Source organism: Homo sapiens, chromosome 12 (genome assembly GCF_000001405.40).
Source record: "Homo sapiens chromosome 12, GRCh38.p14 Primary Assembly".
NCBI lineage: Eukaryota > Metazoa > Chordata > Mammalia > Primates > Hominidae > Homo > Homo sapiens.
Window position 1 is genome coordinate 125,084,148 of NC_000012.12, and position 26,055 is coordinate 125,110,202.

At 50.9% G+C, this 26,055-nt stretch overlaps 1 protein-coding gene across 12 annotated transcripts in view, besides 3 other annotated features; it reads left to right on the forward strand.

Annotated features, from left to right (window-relative positions):
- Positions 1-26,055, forward strand: part of AACS (acetoacetyl-CoA synthetase) — a 77,882-nt gene that overhangs the window by 18,713 nt on the left and 33,114 nt on the right. For all 12 annotated transcript variants that reach the window (NR_183033.1, NR_183032.1, XR_007063117.1 and 9 more), the window contains 5 exons: positions 2,183-2,296; positions 7,279-7,376; positions 18,532-18,646; positions 18,853-18,934; positions 22,974-23,121. Coding sequence is in view for 9 of the 12 variants with exons in the window: in NM_023928.5 (NP_076417.2) it covers positions 2,183-2,296; positions 7,279-7,376; positions 18,532-18,646; positions 18,853-18,934; positions 22,974-23,121 (557 nt within the window). In the remaining 3 variants the exon portion in view is untranslated. The remainder of the gene's footprint in view (positions 1-2,182; positions 2,297-7,278; positions 7,377-18,531; positions 18,647-18,852; positions 18,935-22,973; positions 23,122-26,055) is intronic.
- Positions 6,924-7,425: an enhancer, noted in NCBI's record as "H3K4me1 hESC enhancer chr12:125575617-125576118 (GRCh37/hg19 assembly coordinates)". NCBI's record gives its function as "activates a minimal SCP1, AML or CMV promoter by ChIP-STARR-seq in primed H9 embryonic stem cells {active_cell/tissue: H9 hESC(primed)}" and the evidence as "EXISTENCE:reporter gene assay evidence [ECO:0000049][PMID:30033119]".
- Positions 20,684-21,185: an enhancer, noted in NCBI's record as "H3K4me1 hESC enhancer chr12:125589377-125589878 (GRCh37/hg19 assembly coordinates)". NCBI's record gives its function as "activates a minimal SCP1, AML or CMV promoter by ChIP-STARR-seq in naive H9 embryonic stem cells {active_cell/tissue: H9 hESC(naive)}" and the evidence as "EXISTENCE:reporter gene assay evidence [ECO:0000049][PMID:30033119]".
- Positions 21,186-21,685: an enhancer, noted in NCBI's record as "H3K4me1 hESC enhancer chr12:125589879-125590378 (GRCh37/hg19 assembly coordinates)". NCBI's record gives its function as "activates a minimal SCP1, AML or CMV promoter by ChIP-STARR-seq in naive H9 embryonic stem cells {active_cell/tissue: H9 hESC(naive)}" and the evidence as "EXISTENCE:reporter gene assay evidence [ECO:0000049][PMID:30033119]".

Here is a 26,055-nt window from a genome sequence, read left to right on the forward strand (position 1 = left end):
TGAAACCCCATCTCTACTAAAAATACAAAAATTAGGTGCAGGTGCCTGTAATCCCAGCTAACTGGGAGGCTGAGGCAGGAGAATTGCTTGAACCTGGGAGGCGGAGGGTGCAGTGAGCTGAGATCGCACCACTGCACACCAGCCTGGGCAACAGAGCAAGACTCCATCTCAAAAAAAAAAAGGATCACTTTCTATATTTCATGTAACATTTCTCCCTCCCTCCCTCACTTCCTCCCCTCCTTTCCTTCTTTCCTTTCCTTTCTTTCCTTTCTTTTCGACAGGGTCTCACTCTGTTGCTCAGGCTGGAGTGCAGTGGTACGAACATAGGTCACTGCAGCCTTAAACCTCTGGGCTCAAGTGATCGTCCCATCTCAGCCTCCCAAGCAGCTAGGGCTACAGGTATACACCACCACGCCTGGCTAGTTTTTAAATTTTTTTTTTTTTTTTCCAAGACAGAGTCTCACTCTGTCACCCAGGCTGGAGTGCAGTGGTGTGATCTCAGCTCATGGCAGCCTCAACCTCCTGAGCTCAGGTGATCCTCCCACTTCAGTATCCCGAGTAGATAGGACTATAGGTAAGCACCACCATGCTTGGCTAATTTTTAAAAATTTTTTTTGTAGAGACGAGGTTTTACCAGTTGTCCAGGCTGGTCTCGAACTCCTGAGCTCAAGCAACCTGCCCACCTTGGCCTCCCAAAGCGCTGGCATTACAGGCATGAGCCACCCTGCCTAGCCTTAGTTTTAACATTTTTTGTAGAGTCTCACTATCTTACCCAGGCTGGTCTTGAACTCCTAACCTCATGTGATCTTCCTGCCTTAACCTCTCAAAGAGCAAGGATGATAGACATGAACTACTTCTCTCAGCCTATATAACATTCTTGAAATGGCAGAATTATAGAGCTAGAGTATATGTAAGTGATTGCCCGGGGTGGGGGTGGTGTAGGGGTCAGGGATGACTATAAAGGGGCAACAGGAGGGAAGGGTTTGGGGTGGTGGAAATGTCCTATATCTCAATTGTGGTGGTTGCAGGAAATTCCGTAAGGTGGCAGAGAACCTCGCACGTGCATGTTTCATCCATGTCTATTTCCTGGAACCACACATATGCACATTGCATCCACGTCTGTTTCCTGGAACCACGCACACGCATGTTGCATCCACGTCTGTTTCCTGGAACCACACACGTGCACATTGCATCCATGTCTATTTCGTGGAACCACGCACGTGCACGTTGCATCCACATCTGTTTCGTGGAACCACACACGTGCACCTTGCATCCACGTCTGTTTCATGGAACCACGCACGTGCACGTTGCATCCACGTGTGTTTCGTGGAACCACACACATGCACGTTGCATCCACATGTGTTTCATGGAACCACGTACGTGCACGTTGCATCCACATCTGTTTCACGGAATCACGCACATGCACGTCGCATCCACGTCTGTTTCGTGGAACTACACACATGCATGTTGCATCCATTTCTGTTTCCTGTCTTTGCTGGTGTACTCTGTTTATGGAGGATGTAGCCACTGGGGCAGCTGGGTGAGGGGGACATGGGACCTCTCTGTTCTTTCTTTGAAACTTCTTGTGAATCTGTAATTAAAAAAAAAAACCCACAATTATAATTAAAGGATTCTTCAGTTAATAAAAGCATTCCCGGTAGAAAATCTTATTTATTTATTTATTTTGAGACAGGTTCTTGCACTGTTGCTCAGGCTGGAGGTCAGTGGTGTGATCATGGCTCACGTGATCCTTTGCCTCAGCCTCCCAAGTAGCTGGGACTACAGACGTGTGCCACTATGCCTGGCTAATTTTTACGTTTTTGGTAGAGATGGAGGTCTCACTCTGTTGTCAGGGCTGGTCTTGAACTCCTGGGCTCAAGCAGTCCTCCCACCTCAGCCTCCTAAAGTGCTGAGATCACAGGCATGAGCCCCTGCACCGGGCCTAATAGAGAATCTTTACGCAGCACATGTTGTTAGTGTATATGTTCGGCTGACTCTTGCAGCCTTTCTTCTGTGTGAGGTTAAGTTGACCTGTATCTTGCTTGTGTTCCCTGCGTCTGTTTTCCCTGGGTGTAGATTAATAACCTGCATTGAAACAGGTGGGATTTTTCATTCAGTGTCTGGCTTGCAACTTTTCTTTTTGCGGTGGTCTGTGTACAATTTACCCTTTTTCTCTTCCCAGGGGAAGGCAAAGAGGAAATTGTGAAGGTGACTTTTGAAGAGCTGAGGCAAGAAGTGGCTTTGTTTGCAGCAGCAATGAGGAAAATGGGTGTGAAGAAAGGAGATCGGGTTGTTGGTAAGTATTTTGGGTGCTGGTGATGGTTTGAGGGAGGAGACCAAGGTAGAATGGGTGATGTGAAGGTCAAGACGGCTTTCAAATAAGGGGGAGTCATGTCATATTACATGGAACCTTGTGGGACTTGGACTCTACATGCAAGGAGAAAAAATAGACCAAGGAAAATTGCTGAAAGAATATGCTGCTCTGCGAAGGCAGGAATTTGCTTTGCTTTGTTCCCTGCTTTGTCCCAGAGCCTAAAACAATTCCAGGAACATCAAGGGAGTGCATTCAGTATGGCTTGCTGGAGGGATGAAGGCGCATTCAATATGGGCTTGCTGGAGGGATGAAGGCGCATTCAGTATGGGCTTGCTGGAGGGATGAAGGCCCATTCAATATGGGCTTGCTGGAGGGATGAAGGCACATTCAATACGGGCTTGCTGGAGGGAGGAAGGCGCATTTAGGAGTTAGCCCTGCAGTGAGGCAGGGCAGGAAAGGGCAGTCTGGGCAGCAGAAACGGCCTGTGAAAGGCCTGGAGGCTGCTGAAGGCAGCAAGCAGGAGGCCACAGGCCTGGAGGCAGCAAGCAGGAGGCGTCTACACGGGCATTAGGAGCTCTGTGGGGTGGAACATGGAGGGCAGGAGGTGGGGCAGGTGCCCAGGTCTGATCCCAAAGGCCTCGTCCACTTTCTTCCACTCTGCCTAGAGTTTCCTGAGGTGCTGGTCCGTTCTGACGCCCTTCCCGCCTTGAGCCATAAAGCAAGGGAAGTAGGACCTAAGAGCAGGCCCCATTTGGGGATTGTTCTGGAAGGAGCAGGGGCTGGAATGTGTAGACCTTGAGGCGTGGTTTGTCTTCCCACTCTGGGCCGGGGCTCTCCTTTGTTCCCTGGGATAGCAACTGAGGATTTCCCACGAAGAACTGCTTAGGTATTTTTCTTACAATTTTCCTTTCACCTTGACTTGTGGAAAAAATGTAAAGGCCTGTGCATGGACCTGTTCTTTACCCCAAACATACTTGTTAGTTAATTGAGATGCAGGTAGGTGTGTACATGGGGATGAGCAGGTGCAGACGAAGGAGATTTATCTTCCAGTGCAGCCCTGGTGGTTGGGGCTCCCGACCTCCCTCCCTTTCCCCTCCATGTCATCGGACAAGGACCACAGGGGGCGGGTGGCAGGAAAAGCCACTGGGGAGGGGCTTGGGCTTTGGAGCCTTGGTGTTTGGCACGGGTGTGCCTCTCCCGAGGGAACTTACTGCAAATTGCCGTTCAGCTTGTTTGCAAAGAGGCAGGAGGAGCTGGGCGGCCTTGTCATCTATAAGTGCAGTAAGTGGCTGGACCAAGAATCCTGTGCGCCAGGCCCCACTACCCTGCCCCGCCTCCCCCTTGAGTAACAGGACTGGACATGGAGTTAGTGCTCAGCGTTTGGTAGCTGACTAGGAAGGAATCTAGCGATGGGCATGCCGGCTGCCTCCTGTCTCAGCCCTTGGCGGCCTGTTCTCCTTCAGCCTATCCTCAGGGTTCACCCTGGCTTGTCGGGGTTGCCTCCTCAGAGGCCGTTCCTGGTTAGCCTTCGAAAAATGCATCCCACTCTTCCTGCAGCTGCTTTCATCATAGTCCTCATGGCTCACCTGAACCTGCAGGGATCTTGGTGTGTTTGTGTGCGTGTGTTCTCCATACTAGAAGGCAGGGGCTTTGTTTTCTCCTCACTGCTGTATCTTCATAGAGAGTGCCTGGCACCTAGCAGCATCTAAGAAGTGTTTATTGAATGAATGACTATGGGTGTTGGGCTGATCATCAGAGCAGACTTTTTTTTTTTTTTTTTTTCTTTTTGAGACAGGGTCTCACTCTGTTGCCCAGGCTGGACTGCAGTGGCGTGATCATGGCTCAACTGCAGCCTCGAACTCCTGGGCTCAAGGGATCCTCCTACCTCAGCCTCCTGAGTAGCTGGGACTACAGGCACGTGCCACCATGCCTGGCTAATTTTTGTATTTTTGGTAAAGACAGGGTCTTGCTATGTTGTCCAGGCTGGTCTCAAACTTCTGGGCTCAAGAGATCCTCCTGCCGTGGCCTCCTAAAGTGTTGGGATTACAGGCATGAGCCACTGCGTCTAGTCACAAAGCAGGCATTTTTGAGGCTGAAACCTCACTTTTTGGGTTCTTGGTCGTCTGATTTAATCTGTACACTTTTAAGGTCTTGCAAAGGAATGCAAAATGTTCTGTCCCCAGTTTTTTTCTTCCCTCCCAATTCTCATTTAAAAAAATCTTTTGAAGCAAACGTTTCTGAGTGAAGGAGAGACAAAACAGGTTATATTGGGGACAGCCAAGGTCCCTGTGAGCTATGCTTTCTTTGAGGAGACGCCTGGCCGCGATGCCCTGGACCCTTCAGAGGTGAGCTGGTTCCTTGTGCCCCAGCCATTTTGTGGGTCTCAGTTGGATACGGATTTGACCTGATCATAGTTACTAGGATTTGGGACTTTGAGTTTTCCAGAAAACACTAGAAAATGATTAAAATGGGGTTGGATGCTTTAGAGTCTTCAAAAGATGGAGTTAAAGCTGCGCCTAGCTCCGTTTTCCTTTGTCTGTGAAGTGGTTCCCAGGGTTGGCGTCTGATGTACCATGGGAGAAGGGCCAGCTCCTCCTCACTTGTCAGCCACATGGAGTCAGATGGTTAAGCAGCCTCCCCTGGGCACCGAGTCCTGCCCTGACCCTGGGGGTGACAGTGTTGAGATGCTTCAGTTTACGCTCATAGCCAAGTCTCATCTTCGCTGCAAACTCAGCCAACACCAACCATCTGCCGGATGTGGGTGGAACCCCATGGTGGTGTGACCCCTGCCCCTTGGATGCTTATGGCCCAGCAGGGGAGTCGCGTGTGAATCCAGACAAACAGAAACACCCACTGCAGGGGGGAGAAGGAGGGAAAAAGGGAGCCAGCTGACTAGGGACCCCTGGGGGCACACCTGGGTAGCTGCACCTCGCTCTGATGAGGCCTTGTTCATGGCCCTTCGTCTCGTGACTGCCTTCTGCCCTACTGTACAGGTCCTTTCCTCTGGAATGTGTAGAGTGATCTGGTTAATTGATCATAGTCTCTGTGGCCATGAGGATTCCCTGCCTCTGTTGTCATGAAAGCCAGCCTGCTAGGAGATGGAGGGCCTGAGGACCTCTGCCCCTTATAGGCTTGAATATGGCTCTTGACAGTACTGCTTGTGTTCTTCATTCCCTCTCCTCTCTATCCATCCAACCAACCATCCACCAGTCCACCTGTCTGTGCAGCCATCCATCAACCCATCCATCTGTCCATCCATCTATCCATCCTTCTCTCCACCTACCCATCCATCCGTCATCCATCTATCCATCCCTTCATCTATCCTCCACCCATCATCTACCCATCCATCCATCCATCTTCCATTTATCATCCCTCACCATCATTTATCCATCCATCCATCCATCCTGTCTATACATTCTTCTCTCCATCTACCCATTTACCCATTATCCATCTATCCATCCATTTATCTATCCTCCACCCATCATCTACCCATTCATCCATGCATCCTCCATTCATCATCCCTCATAGATCATCCATCCAACTATCCATCCATCCATCTGTCTATACATTCTTCTCTCCACCTACCCATCCATCCCTCATCCATCTATCCATCCACTCATCTATCCTCCACCCATTATCTACCCATTGATCCATCCATCTTCCATTTATCATCCATCACCATCATCCATCCATCTATCCATCCATCCTGTCTATACATTCTTCTCTCCATCTACCCATTTACCCATTATCCATCTATCCATCCATTTATTATGCTTCCACCCATCATCTACCCATTCATCCATCCATCTTCCATTTATCATCCCTCATCCATCATTTATCCTACCATCCATCCATCCAACTGTCTATACATTCTTCTCTCCACCTACCCATTTATCCGTCATCCATCTATTCATCCATTCATTTATCCTCCACCCATCATCTACCCATTCATCCATCTTCCATTCATCATCCTCATCCACCATCCATCCAACTATCCATCCAACTGTCTATACATTCTTCTCTCTACCTACCCATTCACCCATCTTCCATCTCTCCATCCACTCATCTATCCTTCACTCATTATCCATTCATCCATCCATCTTCCATTCATCATCCCTCATACATCATCCATCCGTCTATACATTCTTCTCTCTGCCTACCCATTCACCCATCATCCATCTCTCCATCCATTTATCTATCCTCCATCTGTCATCCGTCCATTCATTCATCCATCCATCCTCCATTCATCATTCCTCATCCATCATCCATCCATCCATCCATCTGCCAGCCGGCAAATATATGAGGACCCTTGATGTGCAGGGCATGGTAAAAGGCATTTGGTAAAGCAAAGAACAAGACAGGCAAAGTCCCAGCCCTCATGTGAGAACCAGATACTAGACGGCCAGTTACACAGGTGATTATTCATTTGCAGTTATGCTAAGTTTGGTGAAGGAGAAATACAGTGTGCTTTGCAGGTAACTAGTTGGGGGACCTGAGTTCACCGGGTTGGGGGCAAGACAGCCTTGGAGAAGGCTGCTCTGAGGAAGTTTCATTTGAGTGAAGAGCTGCAGGATGAGCGCACACTGAGTGGAGACTGCTGGTGTGCGTGGAGGAGTGTTCAGCAGATCAGACAGCTGTGCAAAGGCAGGAGGTGATTAGGACAACTGAGGAGTCGGAAGAAGGCTGCTGTGACCAGATCCCAGGGAGGGATGGGGAGCAGAGGGAGGAGAGCCCACGGGGTCATTGTCATCAGAGCATGGAGAATGGATTGCAGGGGGATGGTGGGGAGTTGACAGGCTGGCAGCAGGCGATTCATCTGGGCGGGGGCTGGTGGTCAGGATCCTCAGGCAGTTCAAGGCCAGCCCCCTTCCCACTCTGACCTTGGCTCTCAGAGAAACCTTTTGGACATCTGCTACCTCCCATACACCCTGAACCCAAGGCTTCTTCCTATGTTTTCTCCACAGGTTATTTACCCAACAGTGAGCACGCTGTCGAGGCGATGCTGGCTGCGGCAAGCATTGGTGCCATCTGGAGCTCCACGTCCCCGGACTTCGGTGTGAATGTGAGTCAGGGTCTGTGACAGAGGGGGCACCCCTTGCCCTGTGAGCATCCTGGGCAGGGGCTGCATGGGCTGAATTCCCAGGGGAGCCGGACAGCAGCGTGAGCCCAGCGGGAGGAGGTGGCGTTGCAGCTGCCTCTATGGGGAAAGAAGCCAGAAGGACTTGCGTCTGGTTCTTCCTTTCAAGCAGTCCTGACGTTCCCCCACTCCTCGCCGTGTTCATCGAAGACGTGGGCAGGTGGCGTATGCAGCACCCAGTGTTGTTAAGGTCTAGTAAGGTCGAGCCCTGTCTTCCTCACCTGGGATTTAGTGACCACGTGAGGTTTGCTAAGTGTATGTCCTCTGAAGAGAGTTCTCTAGATTTTTGTTCTCAAAGTCCTGCCTGCAGAAGTTCCCCAGGACCTCCCTGTGTTGGTTTCTGCTGTTACCAGCCCCTTCCTCTGGACCCGTACTGTGTGGGTGTGCACTCCGGGAGGGTGGCCTCTCTGTCCCCAAACCACCCCAGGGTGTGTCCAGCTGCCCAGAGTGGCCCAGGCAGGGCCGGAAGCATGTGCTGATCCCCACTGGGGCCCCCCAGCCTATAGGTCTTTCCACGGGGCAAATGAAGCAGCCGCAGAGCGGGTCTTCCTGGGGCCCCCACTCCCCAGCCAGGGCCCTCTCCTGGCTGCAGAGCCTTGAGCGTCAGGGACCTTCAGGAGCCATGAGAACCTGTTACAGGACATGCAGCATCCGTGTCCCTGACCGCTCCTCCTGGTGCCAGCTGCCTCTGTTCTGGGCCAGGCCCTGTGCCGTCCGTCAGTCAGCAGCACCAGCTGCAGGTGTGGCCGCTGGCCCTTTAAAACCCAGTGCCCGGAGTTGGTGTCTGTGCTTGTCCACAGGTGAGGCTTTTGGGTGTGAGCTTAGAAATCATGTCTACTTAGAGGCTTGCTTTTTCAGTAAGGTTTTGGAGGAGGAGTGTCCTTTCTCCACACCGTGGGAGGAGAGATCAGACACAGGCCCAGAGGAGTGAGACTGGCCAGCCGTGCATCAGGCCGCAGCACCAGCTGGGCTGATGATGGAGCCCTGCTGGGTTCAGGGAGGGCGTGGCCACCTTGTAGATCTGTACTGTGTGGCTGGATGGCCGTGCCCTGCCTTCTGGAACTTTCCTGTGTTCTTTCCCAGGCCATCTCACCCCAGGACCTCCCCAGGTCAGCAGGGACTGACCTAGACAGAAACTCAACCTGTGGCCTCTCCTGTCCCTAGGGCCCTCTGTGGGGGCTGCCTGGGCTGCTGGGGCCAATGGTGTCCTTGTGGGAGGGTCTGGAGGGGTGGAGTTCCGGACTGGACACTCAGACCCCTCAGCCGACCTTGAGCCAGGCTGTCCAGGGCAGAGGGAAGGGCCCCAGGGTGAGACGGCAGGATGGCAGGGTGTGCTCAAGGCCGGGCAGGCTGGCTGCCTCTGCTCCATGTGGCTTCCTTGATCAGTGTCCATGGGCAAGTGCCCTGGTGTCCCCAGAGGGAGAATGGCAGCAGTGTTAGTGCAACTGCACAGATGGCAGGAGCCACGTTTGTGTGGAGCCGGGGACAGGGTGTGACCCTCCAGGCCAGCCCAGTAAGTGTTAGCTACTGTTTGAACTAGTCGGGAGATGGGTGTGTTTTGAGTTAAATTATGACTAACCTTTTGTAAACGGGTTGTGAGAGGCTGGGAGAGCCGTGTGTGGCAGGGGAGTGATCATGGCCTCCCAGAGCTGGAGTGTAGCCTCCTCCCCCTGGAGAGGTGATATCAGAGCAACTGGAATCGGCCTTTGGTGGTTTGTCTGAGGCCAGGGGGTGGAGAGAGGGAGAGCCTCTGACTCTGCATGGCTGCAGTGGCAGGGCTGGACCCCAGCCTGTCTCACAGCTGCATCCAGCCTCGCTGGGTCATTGTCCTGTGCACGTCACTCCCCGCTGACTCCAGTCCGGCAGGATCTGCCCATCCTGGAAGGACTCAGGAGGGATGCATGGCTCTGTAGCAAACATGGTCTCGGGGACACTGCTTCCTGGCCGGGGTTGGTCCAGGGTTTTCTGGAATCACCGCCTCCCCGAGCCACCTCTGGAGTGGGAAGTGCTGGCCGAGCTGCTGGGCGCACTAGATGGCAGCATGGCTCTGCTCACCCCATGGCTCCCGCAGCTTCTGGGAAGTGAACAGTCCCAGGCCCTGCGGCTACGTCTCAGGTCAGAAAACAGGGCCACCTGCCCTCCTGCTGAGATGCTTCTCTCTGTCGCTCATTTTGCTAGTGTCCGAGGTATAGACTCCATCCTGCCGGAGACGGGGGTGTGTGTGACGCACGTTACTCGCACTCGAACTGAGATCCAGCCGGTTGGCAGGGAGTCTGTCGGCATTTGGTGGCTTCGTGGCAGGCATTATTGGGCAGCACTCCTGGCCGTGTGCACCCAGCGTGGGAGGGCCTGCGTGGATGCCATGTTCATAGCGCTTGGTCCCACAGACACCTGGACACCCGCTGTCGGAGCTGAGTAAGGACCTGGCACAGGTCGACTGCGCGAAAGCCTCTGCTCACCCTCTATTTACCATCCTTGTTCAGGGGCTAAAACTAACAGGGATGAATTCCTGGAGTTGCTGATGAGGTGGGGCTGGAACTGAGCCAAGGCTGATGGGTTCTGGGCTCGTGGACAGTTCCTGCATCGGTTTGCAGATCTCTACTTAAAAAAGAGATCCTGTTTTTAATTTCCATCATCACCATGTTAAACTTCAGACTGTGCCCCATTTTCAGTAAGGGGCGCTCTTCAGAAACTGCAATGAAGCGTGAATGTCTTCCCTTTGGAATCATGTTTTCTCTTGCTTTGAAATTATATTTCTTTGAATCTCAGAGAATATCGTAAAGGGAAATTGCCACTCTCCTACAAATCCTGTGTTGACTTCTGGTCTCTGTTGATGGAGTCGCACCGTTGGACTCGTGGGTTCACACGCCTGTCCACTGAGAGCTCCTCGGCTGGCTGTGCTGGGTGCTGAAGGGACCCTCTCTGCTGCAGAGCCACAGACCGCAGTGGGCTGTCCAGGGAGTGCTGGGGCATCCGTCTTTACTCGATGACACTGGGGGAACGCGTTTCTGGCCTCCGTCACTCCCCTGTGCTTTACTTCTACCCATTCCATGCTCTCTCCCACCACTGCCCACCTCCTTCTGCCTGCTCTCTGCTGGCTGCCTGGGCATCTCAGCTTGCCTTACTAATGCTTTTGGGCTCGAAGGGCATCGCCAGGTTGGGGAAGTGCTCTGTTCTAAGGGTTCCCAACCTTTCCAGCCCCAGCAAGATCTCTAGGTCCTGAGTCTTTTGATGGCTTTGGGTTTTTTGTTTCACTGTTTACCTTTGAGCCTTTGCCATTTTCAGAGATGTCAGGGAAGGCCACCCTCTGATCCCTGCACACCAGAGAGCCCAGCCTGTAGCCTGCAGGCCTTGTCCTCCTGAAGTGCCATCAGGTGGCCGTGTGTGTGTGTGTGTGTGTGTGTGTGTGTGTGTGTGTGTGTGTGTCTGTGTGTGTAAATAGGACAGCCATTCTCGCTCGCTCTGGGTGGCTGTCACCATGATTCAACACCGGCTGTTGGTTTCAATGCTTGATTGGTTGCTAAGCACCGTATTCAGGTCAGACACATGTTCATAGGTGTGTTTGTTTTGTTGCAACATGAAAGCTGTCCTCGAGCAGCTCTCCTGGGCCAGGACAGGCTGACAGCTGGTTTTGGATGCTCGAGATCTTGATCCCTGCTGGTCCAGCCAGGAAAACTTCAGCTGTGTCAGAGGACCCCTGAGTCTTTTCATGGGGCTAGGGGCCAGACCTCTGATTCAGAAACACTCGTCTTTGTAGCCTGATCACTGTCACTGTGCCTGGGGTCCTGTGGTATTTGAGCCCCAGATCACTGGCAGGCTCAGTCCTTTCACCTTGAGATCCTGGTCACCCTGTACTGGGCTGGTTCTCTGAGATCCCAGTTTCCTTGTGGAAATTCTCTGCCGCCCTCCGGGGCTCTCCCAGGCTGGCTCTCTCTGTTTCTTCCCTGGCCTCAGGCTTCCTGGCAGGTCTTCCTCTGGGCCCCACTCCACCTGCCCCTGGGTGTTGATCTCTATGTCCTCTGTTCAGAACAGCCTCTTCTCCCTCCCGCCTACCCTGTGGGACCTGCTTATTCTTGACGCTGGGCTTTGGAGATGCTGACTCCAGCGGCTTTCTGGGTTTCCTCCTCTTCCTCCTGATTCAGTCTGCTGCAGTATCTTAGCACCCGAATCTGTTCTGCTGTTTTGATTTTCTGTTCCATGTACGGTATTAGTGTTTTCTGAGTGGAGCCAGCACAGTGGTGAGGAGCACCAGCACCCACATCAGACAAGCCAGGCTGCAGCCCAGCCATGCCTCTGGCCAGTTGTGAGGCTTTGGGCAAGTCACTCACCCCGTTCCTGCCTTATCAGGGTTAGGGAGTGGATACTATTGCCCCTCTTTTTTTCTGAGACGGAGTCTCACTCTGTCTCCCAAGCTGGAGTGCAGTGGCGCGATCTCGGCTCACTGCAAGCTCCACCTCCTGGGTTCACACCATTCTCCTGCCTTAGCCTCCCAAGTAGCTGGGACTACAGGCGCCTGCCACCATATCCAGCTAATTTTTTGTATTTTTAGTAGAGACGGGGTTTCACCATGTTAGCCAGGCTGGTCTCGATCTCCTGACCTCGTGATGCAAAGTGCTGGGATTACAGGCATGAGCCACTGTGCCCAGCCTTATTGCCCCTCTCTTAAGGCTGTGAAGGGCAGTAAGTGCTTCTAATGAGCTCAGACTGGGGCCTGGCACATAGTAAGCATTCAGTAAATGCTCAATATGTTTTAACTGGCAATCATTTCTTCCCCACTAAACCAAGAACTCTCGGTCCATCTTAGAATCCCGGGCACAGAGAGGGCACCAGTGTAGACATGCCATTTGTGGTTTGTGTGTTCGCCACAGCCAAGGTCTGGACAGGCCCCTTACCTGTGGGTGAGGGAGCTTGGGTGTCAGGAGTGTTGGGACTCACTTTGCATAAGGGGTGGCTGGGGCTGGAGGGAGCCAGGTGCAGGGATACCTTGTCCAGGGCCATGTGGCCAGGAAAGGGAGGAGTAAGGACCATGGCCTTAGAGTAGGTTGAATGTGTTACCTTGATATTTGCATAGAGAGCGTCAGAAGTAAACAGAGGGACACCCAAGTCCCAGCAGGACATGAAAGAGTCTGAGAAATCGCTGTGCATGCACTTAGTTAAGTGGACGTGGTGTCTTTCCAGGAAGGGCAGGCACTTGCTCTCGGGGGGTGCATCTGGGCACTGAGAATGGGGAAGAGGGGCTTGCCTGGCTGGGGGTGAGCTTCTGTTTAGATGCCTTGTTCCAGTGCCAGTGCCCAGGCGCTGGTCTAGGGGGTGAAGACTTCTCTCCTGGATGCTTCTGTCCCAGTCTCCTGCCCATCAGAAGTGGCTGGGGAGGAGGAAGGGGTGGCATTCTCAGTCCAGGAGGGTTTGGTGCCAGGAAGGGCCATTTCTGGGCATTCTGTTCTTCTGATGGATTTGGGCAGGGTGTATGTTAGCATCAGACGCAAGGAGGGCTAGCCCTGGTGGCCTGCGGAGTAAATGCTGGTGGGACCGGGGTGCCACCTGCCTGCAGACTCGGCCTGTTGCTGCTGGACTCCTGGGGGGCACCATTTTGGGGCTTTCTGCAACCACCTCTGTGTAGCAGTTTAGAGCAGAAGAAGAAGTAGTAGGAAATAGTCTTTGTCCACCAAGGACGTCACTGAGGAAGGGGTACCGGGGGTACCCTTGAAATGGAGGAGGGAGGAGGTGGACGGTGACCGAAGGCCTGATGTCCTGAGGCCAGGGGCCAAGTCCCTGTTACCTGTATGTCCCATGCACTTTTTTAAACTGATGCTGAAGTTGGCCAATGTTTTACTTAAAAAAAAAAAAAAAAAGTGCGTTGGGGCAGCTCCAAGGGCGTCTCTGTAATAATGTCACAGTCATTCCCTTGTCCCCCACCCGCCCGCCGTGAACTTTGCTGAGGGGCAGAGGAAGTGGCGGGAGTAGAGAGAAGCTTGGCTTGGTCTGCGCCTCCTCCCGTGCCTTCCGCAGTGGCCAAGGTGTTCAGCTGGAGGAAGACCCCTCCTTCCTGTCATGACTGTGCATCCTGAGAGCACTTCAGCCTTCCTTCCCCCTGTCCAGTCAGCACTGGCGGGGCTGCCAGAAGTTCTCAAGACTCAGTGAGCCCCAGAGGAGCTCACAAGTCCCCAGGGGGAGCCCCATCTCAGTAACCCCCGCCACTACAACCCTGCCAAACCAGGAGCTCGGGCTGTGCGCCACACCCTTTCACTCCCTTCCCTACCGTTGGCTGTTCTTGCCGCCTCTCCACTGTCCTCCTTCATACGTTTGATTGAGCGGTTCCTCGGTTCCTCTGTGACCCCGGCTAGGCACTGCCATCTCTCACGCGTGCCGTCGTAGTAGCTTCCGACCAGTCTCATTTCTGCTTCTCTCTACTGTACACCTTTTTATCTTTTTCTTTTCTTTCTTTTTTAACTTTCATCACCTTTCTACTATCCAGTACACACCCTTTAACAAGTGGATCCGAACCAGTGTTTGTTTCTGTCTCTCTCCCAGATTAAATATTCTTTAGAGGGCTGGGCTGGGTAGCTTACACCTGTAATCCCAGCACTTTGGGAGGCAGAGGCGGATGGATCACTTGAATCCCGGAGTTTGAGAGCAGCCTGGGCAACATGGCAAAACTCCATCTCTACAAAAAAGAAATAACTTAGCTGGGTGTGGTGGCACACAGCCTGATCCTGAGCCCGGGAGGTTGAGTCTGAGTGAGCTGTGATCTGTCTACTGTACTCTAGCCTGGGTGACAGGGCAGAACCCTGTCTAAAAAAAAAAAAATCCTTCAGTGACTTTCTCATTTTCTTTTGTTCTGTTTTTCTCATTACCTTTTTTTTTTTTTTCTGAGACAGAGTCTCAGTCTGTCACCCAGGCTGGAGTGCAGTGGCATGATCTCAGCTCACTGCAACCTCTGCCTCCCAGGTTCAAGTCATTCTCCTGCCTCAGCCTTCCAAGTAGCTGAGACTACAGGCGTGCGCCACCACGCCTGGCCAATTTTTGTATTTTTAGTAGAGATGGGGTTTCACCATGTTGGCCAGGCTGGTCTTGAACTCCTGATCCTCAAGTGATCCACCCGCCTTGGCCTCCCGGTGTTGGGTGTACAGGCGTGAGCCACCGCTCCTGGCCCTCATTACCTTTTCAAACTGTATTGCTGGGGTTTAACACCACTATTTATTTTGCTGGATTGAGTTATATGTGGCCACCTTGCCTAACTGATTTGTTCTAGTGGTTTTTCTGGTGACTTTCACAGATTTTGTGTGCAGCTGTTCCCATTGTGTGTAGGGGGCAAACTGTTTCTAGTTCCCACCCCGGGACGTAGGTGGGGGTGTTCGGCACAGGTGCAGGTGGGCTGGGGGTGGGCGTCTTGCATGTCCTTTTCTCACTGGACATCTTATCTTTTACCAAGTGCGAAATGTGCCGTCAGGTGTCTGCCAGATACCTTTTGTCAGTGAGGAAGTATCCTTCAGTTTCCAGCTGATTAAAGCATGGGTTTGGAAAGCATGTTGCCTTTTATCAGAAGCTTCCAAGATAATCATGCGATTTCCCCCTCTGTTAGCCTGTTGCTGTAGTCGATAACATTGGTCTGTAATCTCTCTCTCTTTTGGTTTGTGTGTTTCCTGTCTTTCTCCGACTTCTGTAATGGTTTACGCAGAAGGGATGCTGTAGCTTACAGAGACTTGGTGGTGCTCGCCTGCAGAGCTGCCCACCCTGGTGTCCCTGGAGGAGGTAGACCTTTGTCACTTCAGCTGTGGTGCTGCTTTTTGAATAAATTTTGGTAATTTTTATTTTCTTGAGAAGTCATCCATTCTATCTGGATTTCAAAATCTATTAAACATTGTTTTCTGGCTCATGAATCTTTTATTCTGTAGTCAAGTGTGATTTCTAATTTTGAGAGGCCACATGCTTCAGCTTAGTCACCTGCAATATGAGGGTGATAAGGCCACCCATGTCCAAGGTCATTCTGAGCAGTAAATGAGCGAATATCGGTCCAGTGCTTAGGGCAGCACCTGACACAGAGTAAGTGTTCTACAAGGGATAACTGGAAATGTTAGGTTTCCTTTTTTGTTTGTTTGTTTGTTTGAGATGGAGTCTCGCTCTATCACCGAGGCCGCATGATCTCAGCTCACTGCAACCTCTGCCTCCCGGGCTCAAGCGATTCTCCTGCCTCAGCCTCCCAAGTAGCAGGGATTATAAGCATGGGCCACCGTGTCTGGCTAATTTTTCTATTTTTAGTAGAGATGGGGTTTCTCAATTTTGGTTAGGCTGGTCTCAAACTCCTGACCTCAAGTGATCTGCCGGCCTCAGCCTCCCAAAGTGCTGGGATTACAGGCGTGAGCCACTGTGCCCGGCCGAAATGCATTTTTTCTTCTTGACCAGATTTTTCAAGAAGCTTACTTTTATTTTATTTTAAGACAGGGTCTTTCTCTGTTGCCCAGGCTGGAGTACAGTGCTGCGAACACAGTTCACTGCAGCCTCGAGCTCCTGGGCTCAAGCAATCCTCCCCACTCAGCCTCCCACGTAGCTGGGATTACAGGTGCCCTGCTAATTTAATAAAATAATTCTTTTGTAGCTGTCCAAGCTCGTCTCCCAAAGTGTTGGGATTACAGGCGCGAGCCACCATGCCTGCTAAGAAGCTTATGTTATTGGTTGTTTTGGAAAAATGATTTTTGGTTTTGCTGGTCAAGTCCATCATTAGTTTTTCCTTATGGCTTTAATTCCTTCTCTCTTTTTCTTTCCCTGGCTACCTAATTTTGAGTGTAGTTTACTGAAAACATTGGAAATGGAAAACAATAACATTTGCAATTGTTTTCCTGTTGTGTTTCTGATAGATCGTATGTTCTGGGGAGTGGGAACCCTGTCTGTCTGGTTCCCTGGCACGGTGCCTGGCACCTAGCACATGGAATAAACAAATGCTTTCTACTCCCTACTCTTCTCTGTTAATTCACCTTCTAGTTGGGGAAATTGGACAGTGTTGAGTAAACTCTGAATCCTAGAACTCTTAGCACAGAAATTCTCAAATTTTATCACACCTCAGGATCATCTGGATGGCTGGTGAGAACAGATTGCTGGGTCTCCTGCAGAGTGTCCGATTCATTAGGTCTGGGGCCCCAGGTGAGGCTGACTGGCTGCCTGGGGGACCACACTTTGAGCTGCCCAGCCTCCCTCCCACAACACTCTGCCCCTTAGACTCCCCCAGAGTCAGCGTTTCTGCTTCCCTGCTAAGAGTCACCAGGGAGCTCTGAAAACAAATGCCCGCCGCTCCTGACCCGTTAATTAGTTATCCTAATGAGCTTAATTAACTTAATAGTCCCACTGCAGGCGGTGCTACCAGGCAGCCAGGGTGGAGAGCCTGTGCTGTGAAGTCCTTACTCACAGGTTCTGGGGCCACTGTATGTGCCCTGGGGGTAGCCCTAGGTGTTGGTCTTGAACTGCTTGCATCAGGCTCATGTGCGAGGGAATAGCAGCCATCTGGGCGATGGCTACCCATGTTTGCAGATGGCAGTCTCTTAACACAGTGTAACCTTGAGGATGGCCAGGAGGGAAGTGAATAGAAGCCTTGTCTGAGAGTGCTTTAATCTGTTACTAACATTAATAATCTGTTAATAATTAATAATCTGGACTAACACTCAGGGAGTGTCAGTGAATGTTATGAGTTCCAAGAACAAGCCCATGCCTGCATGGAAGGAATCCCCTGTTTCAGGAAAGCAGTGCCCTTGGCTGGACTGCAGACTCCACGTGCAGTACAGACCAGAGACATGGGTGTGGTGATCCTGCCTTTTAAGATGGGGCTCATTAACTAGTGTATGCACGTGTAGGCTTATGCCATTGGTTGGCATAAATGCACTGCTTGGAGGATTCAGGTTCCTCTTTAATTGAAGATTCCGAGAACCAAAATATGGGGCCACTTTGCTTTGCTGTTGTGGCCTCTTTGGAAGATGAATCTTCTTTTGTATACACTAGCAGAGCTGTGCTAACAGGCTCTTTCTGTAAGGTGGGGAATCTTTTTGGTAGTGTAAACACACACTCTATACTCTTCATATTTCAGTATATGTCTGTAAATACTTCTGGTATTTCTTGATATTGATGCCTTCCTTGGCATAGTGGTTGTTCTCAGATATAAGTTGTGCTTTGATCAACTTTTTTTTTTTTTTTTTTTTTTGAGATGGAGTCTCACTCTGTCGCCCAGGGTGGAGTGCAGTGGCACTATCTTGGTTCACTGCAACCTCTGCCTCCTGGGTTCAAGCGATTCTCCTGCATTAGCCTCCCGAGTAGCTGGGACTACAGGCACGTGCCACCATGCCTGGGTAATTTTTGTATTTTTAGTAGAGATGGGATTTCACCATGTTGGTCAGGCTGGTCTTGAACTCCTGACCTCATGATCCGCCCACCTCAGCCTCCCAAAGTGCTGGGATTACAGGTGTAAGCCACCATGCTTGCCTTTTTAAAAAAAAAAACAAAAAAAAAACCAGAATCTTGCTCGGTTGCCCAGGCTGGAGTGCAATGGCACGATCTCGGCTCACTGCAGAGCGATTCTCCTGCGTCAGCCTCTGAAGTAGCTGGGGCCACAGGCATGTGCCACCATGCCTGGCTAATTTTTGTATTTTTAGTAGAGATGGGGTTTCACCATATTGGCCAGCTGGTCTTGAACTCCTGACCTCAAGTGATTCACCTGCCTCGGCCTCTCAAAGTGCTTGGATTACAGGTGTGAGCCAGCGCGCCCGGCCTCATCGACTTTCTTTATTGGCTACGGGTGCTGGGGACACAGGGACCTGGTCATGCACTGATGATGATGCCCTTTCTCTCCCGTGAAATGCAGTGGTCCTATTGGCTACTGAAGGTTTTTGCCATTTTTTTTTTTAGAGACAGGGTCTCACTCGTGCCCAGGCTGGAATGCAGTGGTGCAAGCATAGCTCACTCCAACCTTGAACTCCTGGGCTCAAGCAATCCTCCCACCTCAGCCTCCAGAGTAGCTGGGACTACAGGCACCCACCACCATGCCTGCTGGTTTTTGCCTTTTGGATGATCAATGATGACTTTTTCCTCCTGCTTTCAGGGTGTGCTGGACCGGTTTTCTCAAATTCAGCCAAAGCTCATCTTCTCTGTGGAGGCTGTTGTCTATAATGGCAAAGAGCACAACCACATGGAAAAGCTGCAGCAGGTGGTTAAAGGTGTGTGGCCCTTCCGGCTCCCAGCCGGCATGGCTGGGTGTGTGTGTGGGTACATAAGAGTCTGCCAGGAGTCAATCTGGGTAGTCTCTGCCCCAGATTGTGTTATATTCTCTGCCCCAGATTGTGTTATATTTTGTGGAAAAAAAAAAAAGCAGCCAAGCATCTTTGTCCTGTAACCTTGTGTTTTCTCCTCTCGCTCCTTCCAGGCCTACCAGACTTGAAGAAAGTGGTGGTGATTCCTTATGTGTCCTCCAGAGAGAACATAGACCTTTCAAAGATTCCAAACAGGTAATGTACCGCATTCTGACCCACAGGTCCGTGTGGACCCACTGGAGCTCCTGCGGGGAAGTAGGCCTCTGGATCTTCTACTTGGGGTCACTCAGAGAATTTTAGAAGTGGAGGAGGTTTTAGTTAAAAGCATCATTTTGTAGATAAGACACCTGAGGCCCCAGAGTGAATCCCCCAAGGCCACATAGTGAATGAGTGGCGGAAGAGAGACAGTCCCAGGCACCCTCACTCTTCCAATCTGGTGTCCCTTATGTAGGGGGCTCTGATGGGGCCAAGCCCACCTTCCTAGATTGGCCACAGAAATTTTGCATTGGAAATCATGTTTACATGTATGTGCACATGGTGCATGCACTGCACACGCATGCACACGACAAGGCACACATATCTACACGTGTACACATGCATGTGCATTTACACACGTGCATACGTGCACAGGTGCACATGCATGTGTACATGTGTATGTATGGCTATGCATACATAAACACTCGTATATGTATTTTTCACCTTTTAGGACATGCGTGTGTTCCCCATTGCTGATGACATCTTCCTTGGCTTTTCTGACATTTGTAGAAGAATAAGCCACATGTTTTGTGTACCCAATAGGATTGTAAGAATCTTCATTTTTGGCCAGGCATGGTGGCTCACGCCTGTAATCCCAGCACTTTGGGAGGCCGAGGCAGGCGGATCACGAGGTCAGGAGATCGAGACCATCCTGGCTAACACGGTGAAACCCTGTCTCTACTAGAAATACAAAAAATTAGCCAGGTGTGGTGGCGGGCACCTGTAGTCCCAGCTACTCGGGAGGCTGAGGCAGGAGAATGGCGTGAATCCGGGAGGAGGAGCTTGCAGTGAGCCAAGATAGCGCCACTGCACTCCAGCCTGGGCAAAAAAGCGAAACTCCGTCTCAAAAAAAAAAAAAAAAAAAAAAAAAAAAAAAAGAATCTTCATTTTGAATAGAGATTAAGGAAATGGATTATGGATTATGGTTTAGTCAAAGCTGAATTCTTCCCAAAGTTCTTGGAGTTATACCTTCCTTTAATTTTTCTTGAAACAGTTGTGGGGAGAGGGTTCTGAGCTCAGGCGTTTACCCCCACGGGGTAAGCTTTCCCTTGAGCCTTGGGTCGGGGCCACTGGAGGGCACCTTGTACGTGGCTCCTTGAGGCCTGGTGAGGAGGGGCTATGTAAACATGGCAGGGTGTCTTCATACCAGCCACGGGGACCAGAGGTGGAAGAGAGGAGGAGATGGCGGAGCCCTTTTTGTTCCAGCAAGTGGTAGTCGGTGCATGGCTTGTTACCGTCTGTCAGGGTGTTCTCAGGGGCACCACAAGGTACAAATCATGTGTCCTGTCCTCCGGGAGTTGCAATCTAGTTGGAGAGGTGAGACCCACCTGCAGGGAGGTTGAGCTGTGACCACTAGGAGTGGGAGGGACAGGATGTGCCCAGGGGTTGACAGCAGGGCCTGGGTGCTTCCCTGTAGGATCTGGGGAGGTGGCATCTGGGGGTGGCTTTGAGGTATGAGCAGGGTCTGGGGACAGCTGTGTGTGCAGGGCATATTCTGGAGCCTGGAGGGTGCTGCAGGCAAAGTGGTGGCTTGGCGAGGGCCATGGTCTCCAGATCCGACTTGTCAGGTTCAGCTCTCAGCTGTGTGACCCTGTGCCAGTAACCTCTCTGAGCCTTGTGTCTCCATCTGTAAAATGGAGATGAGGTGGTACCTGTATTAGGTCGTTCTTGCCTTGCTATAAAGAAATACCTGAGACTGGGTAATTTATAAGAAAAGAGGTTTAATTGGCTTATGGTTCTGCAGGCTGTGCGAGAGGCATGGTGCCAGCATCTGCTTCTGGGGAGGCTGTATGGAGCTTGTGATCATGGCGGAAGGGAAGTGGAGCGGGCACTTTACATGGGAAAGCAGGAGTGGAGGGGGTCGGGGGGCGGGGTGCCACACACTTTTCAATGACCAGCTCTTGTGTGAACTCAGAGTGAGAACCCACTCATCACCAAGGAGATGGTCCCTGCCATTCACGAGGAATCCACCCTTGTGATGCAAACACCTCCCACCAGGCCCCACCTGCAGATTGGAGGTTACATTTCAACACGAGATGAGGGTGGGGACAAACATCCACACTCTTATCAGCACCTTCCTCTCAGGCTGGCTGGGAGGATTAAATAAGCTGCTGCTCTGCAAAGCGTGCACAGTCAGCTCTCAGTGATCCTGCCTGTCATTGTGCGGCCGCGGTGGGCTCTGTCGCCTGAAGCACCTGAGTCAGGGTGGGCAGATTCTTCACAGGCAGGCCCGGGTGCCTGTCCCATGGACTGTGGGACCCTGCCGACCTTAATAAATTATAACCAGGTGCCAGAGCGCTGGCTTTCTTTCATGCAACCTCGGATTTTGTGCCCCAGGTGTATGGATGGAGGCCATGATGCATGGAGGCTAGGAGGAAAACCAGACAGGGTTTACCAGCCCCCTGGTTGGCCTGGCTATTTTTTCTGAATAATATTCATCAGCAGTTGATATAAAATGAGGGCATCCAGCAGAATCATGTTAGCCACTTCATTTAGCCCGACACCCCAGGGGCTGGACTCCCACTGCAGTCCATCCTTTGATTGTGGATGCCACAGATAAAGCAGAAACGGGTACGTGCCCATCTGTGGAGAATTGACGGGGCCGGGGGAGCCACCCTGTGGGCTTTTCATTCTTAGAAGAGCTTTAACAAAGGTAATCATTATGTACTGTGATTTATGGGCCATTTGACAGAAAAGGCTTTTCTCTGTGTGAAGTATCTGATTAGATCTGGCACTTTATAATGGGATTCTTATAGGAGGTAGAGGTGGGATGGGGTTTTCATTGGCTGTAAAGTTCCACAGTGAATAGTTTTCCTGACATGCTGGAGCAGACGGCTTTGTTTGTTTCTTGCTTAGAGTTGAATTATTTTGGATGCCCTTTTTAAACCACCATGTCTTCCCCAGGAGAAACCTTTATATTTAAGGATGCCTTCTCATGCAAGACAGCAAAATTCTTCATTTTAGTCTGTATGGCATTTGTATTTCAGAGTAATTATCCCTAGCAAATGGCTGCAGGCTGCGTTTAACTGATTCCCACCTCCTTCCCTGAGAGAAAGTCCATTTGTCAGTTGAGTATAGGGCCAATGTTTTGAGATGGATGTTGCTGCTGAATTCAAAATAGAAAACCACCTTTTCCCAAGATGGCTTGTGGCTTCTGCGGCTGTTTCTAGTGCAGAAAACAAATCTCCTGTTTGTGTCGCCCCTTTGGTGGTTCTTGGCCACCTACAACAATGCTGCCTGTCAGCTTTGGGGGTAAGCCTAGGCACACTTCCTGGGTGACAGTCAATAGCTGGGATTAATTTTATTTGTTCTTGCACAGATATTTGTATCTTGCTATTGTAAACCTCAGGATCTAGTAAGTTAGTGACAACACATGATATTTGCTGAGCGGTTCTCTGTCATTGAGCTGTAGTTTAGGAAATTGACCCCACATCTGTAGGAAGGGCTCATTAATCTAGCATCTCCTCCTCTCCCTTCTCCCCACGGGGGAAGCATCTTACTTCAGACCCACTTGGTGAGTGCTTCCTTTTGGGCAATCATTGGAAACAAAGCGTTTGCTAATCAGGTGATCAATAGCAAACAAAGGACATGGGCTCAGAAGACTTCAAGGCCATTTCCAAAGCCTCCTTCAGCCGTGTTGGTACACACATGGCTTGTTCATTGTAAGTGATCCTTCTCCGTGGTGGTTATGAAAACACTTAAAATATTCTCTAAAAGACAGCCCTTGGCCCTGTCAGCAGTGCTGATTAAGCAACTTGAAACCTTCACTCGTTCGATGAGTTTTCCTTCAATTAGCTTGAATCTCTGAGATCTAACTGCCTCCCCTGGTCCCAGGAAGTTTCCAAATCTGGCCACCGTCCCCCTGGAATCCTGGCTTTTCTGGGGGTAGAAACAGAGGGAAGTGCACGGGTGGAATCAGTGGGTCCGGTCCAGCATTCTGGGACGTTCATGGCGTGTTTCCCTGCGTTTCGGCCCACAGTGTGTTTCTGGATGACTTTCTTGCCACCGGCACCAGTGAGCAGGCCCCGCAGCTGGAGTTCGAGCAGCTGCCCTTCAGCCACCCACTGTTCATCATGTTCTCATCGGGCACCACGGGCGCACCCAAGTGCATGGTGCATTCCGCTGGGGTAGGTCTCTGGGGAAGGCTCTGCAGGGCCTCCTGTTGTCTGTTTGCTTCAACAGGGCCTCCCAGCTGATGATGGCAGTGTTGGAGTTGTCAAACTGCACCCCATCCCCGGAGAGTCCAACGTGCAGCTTCTCTCCAAGTGGGGTGCTGCACGGAGATCCGGCACTGGGCCCAGGGCAGTGGAGTGCTGCCACTTCAAAGGCTGGGATGGCACCTAACACCATGGCGATAGGCTTGGAGGTCACTGTACAGCGCGGTGTGCCTTGGGGGTGGGGGGTGCGCTGGCTGAACCAGCTACTTTCACCCTGCAGGTCTGGACCACCTGGGGGATTGTGAACTCAATAGGTGGGCCCTGCCAGTATTTTAAAAAGAACGAATCAGAATAGACAAGAATAGATAATATTAGCGCAGTGCCAGACGCAATGGCCCACACCTATAACCCCAGCACTTTGGGAACCTGAGGTGGGCAGATTGCTTTGAGCCCAGGAGTTTGAGACCAGCCTGGCCAATATAGCAAAACCCCATTTTTACTAAAAAATACAAAAATTAACTGGACGTGGTGGCACATGCCTGTAGTCTGAGCTACTCGGGAGGCTGAAGTGGGACAATTGCCTGAACCCAGGGGGCGGAGGTTGCAGTGAGCTGAGATCATGCCACTGCACTCCACCTGGCAACAGAGCCAGACTCTGTCTCAAAAAATAAAAATAAAATAAAATATTAGCACAGAATAGGCTCATAAGAGGTATGGGTGGTGTTCTGTGAAGCTGTCATTACATGGAGCGGAATGTGTGCACGTGCTGGGGGCGTTGTAAAACTTATGTCTGACCGTGGGTTGTGGTAAAATATTTGAAAGCCACTGGTTAGGTTATTAGAAGGCTAGGTTACTAGGTTATTAGGTTATTATTAGAGTCTAATTAACTGAGAAAGAGCCTGCCCGTGCTGCGAGTCTGTTAGGGCTGCCATAACGAAACACCACAGGCTGTGTGGAACACCAAGGTGCCGCACAGTTGCTCTTGTCTGAGGCCTCTCTCCTTGGCTTGTGGACGGCCGCCTTCTTGCTCTGTCCTCGTGTGATCTTTCACGTGACACCGCTGGTGTCTCTGTATGGGTCCAAGCTTCTTCTCCTGAGGACCCCAGTCAGATCGGATCTGGGCCTGCTCTGACAGCCTCATTTAAACTCTGTCACCTTTTAAAGGCCCATTTAGTCACATTCTGAGATACTAGGTATTGGGCTTCAACATACGAATTTTGGGGGTACACAGTTCAGCCCATGACACATGCTTTTAATTTTTCTTATTTCACCGAAAGTCTAACTTTATTAAAGCACCTGAAATAATATGTTACTACTATGCAATAGAATGTATATGTATAGGTTAGTGACTTTTAACCTGTTATTTTATTTTATTTTATTTTTTTTTGAGATGGAGTCTTGATCTGTCGCCCAGACTGGAGTGCAGTGGTGTAATCTTGGCTCACTGCAACCTCTGCCTCCTGGGCTTAAGCAGTCCTCCCCTCTCAGTCTCCCATGTAGCTGGGATTATAGGCGTGTGCCGCTATGCCCTACTCGTTTTTTTGTTTGTTTTGTATTTTTGTGGCTTTTTTTTTTTTTTTTTAAGACCGGGTTTTGGCATGTTACCCAAGCTGGACTCAAACCCCTAGGCTCATATATTCCACCTGCCTTGGCCTCCCAAAGTGCTGGGATTACAGATGTGAGCCACCCATGCTCAACCAAACCTTTTATTTTTGAAAAAAATAAAATACCTAGAGAACCTCTAGAAAAGCTGCAAGAATAGTAAGCTCCATGGTACCCTTCAGCTGAATTCTTCCATTGTTGACATTCTGTCTTTAACATTTTCAACGTCCTTTTGTTTTGTTTTGTTTTGAGATAGTTTCTCACTTTGTTGTCCAGGCTGGAGTGCAGTGGCGTGATCATGGCTCACTGCAACCTCTACCTCCTGGGCCCAAGCGATCCTCCCACCTCAGTCTTCCAAGTACCTTGGACTACAGGCACGTGCTACTTTTTTGTTTTTGTAGAGATGGGGTCTTGCTATGTTCCCCAGGCTGGTCATGAACTCTTGGGCTCAAGTGATCCTCTCGCCTTGGCCTCCTGAGTGCTGGAATTACAGGCATGAGCCACTGTGCCTGATGTCAACATCCATTTTTAACACGTCCTAAAAGCCTCTTTCGCCTTCTTTCTCTCTCAGCGTATATACACATGTTGTTATTTTGCTTTTTGTTGAACCAGTTGAGAGTACGTTGGAGCCACAATGATCTTTCACTCTTTAATATTTCAGCACGTATCTCCCAAGAACAGGAGCGTTCTCTTACAGAAGAGTGTGTAGCGCGCTCATCAAATTCAGGAAGGTTGGCGTTGGTGCAGTGCCGCCCCCTCATCTATGGTCCACAGTCAGGTCGCCAGTTCCCCAGTAGCGTCCTAGCAGCTCAGGCGGTGGCACGTCAGTCGTCAGGTCTCCTGCATGTCTGGAGCAGCTCCTTGGGCTTCTTCGTCTTCCGTGACACTGACATTTTCAAAGAGCCCAGGCTCCTGGTTTGGCAGAATGGCTCTGTTTGGGTATGTCTGGTGTCTCCTCGTGGTTAGGTCCAGGTGATGCAGCTTTGGTGGGAACACGCTGGAAATGATGTGGTGTTCTTCTCCGTGCATCTATCGGGGGGATACAACGTTAGTGTATTTCATTTCTGTGATTTCACTAGGCCACTCTTCAGAAATGAAATGCCTGGGTCAATGTGGTGCTTTGCTTTTTTTTTTTTGAGGTGGAGTCCCGGCACTGTCACCTGGGCTGGAGTGCAGTGGCTCAATGTTGGCTCACTGCAACCTCTGCCTCCCGGGTTCAAGCGATTCTTGTGCCTCAGCCTCCTGAGTAGCTGGGATTATAGGCGCCCGCGACCACGGCCGGCTAAGTTTGTGTGTGTGTGT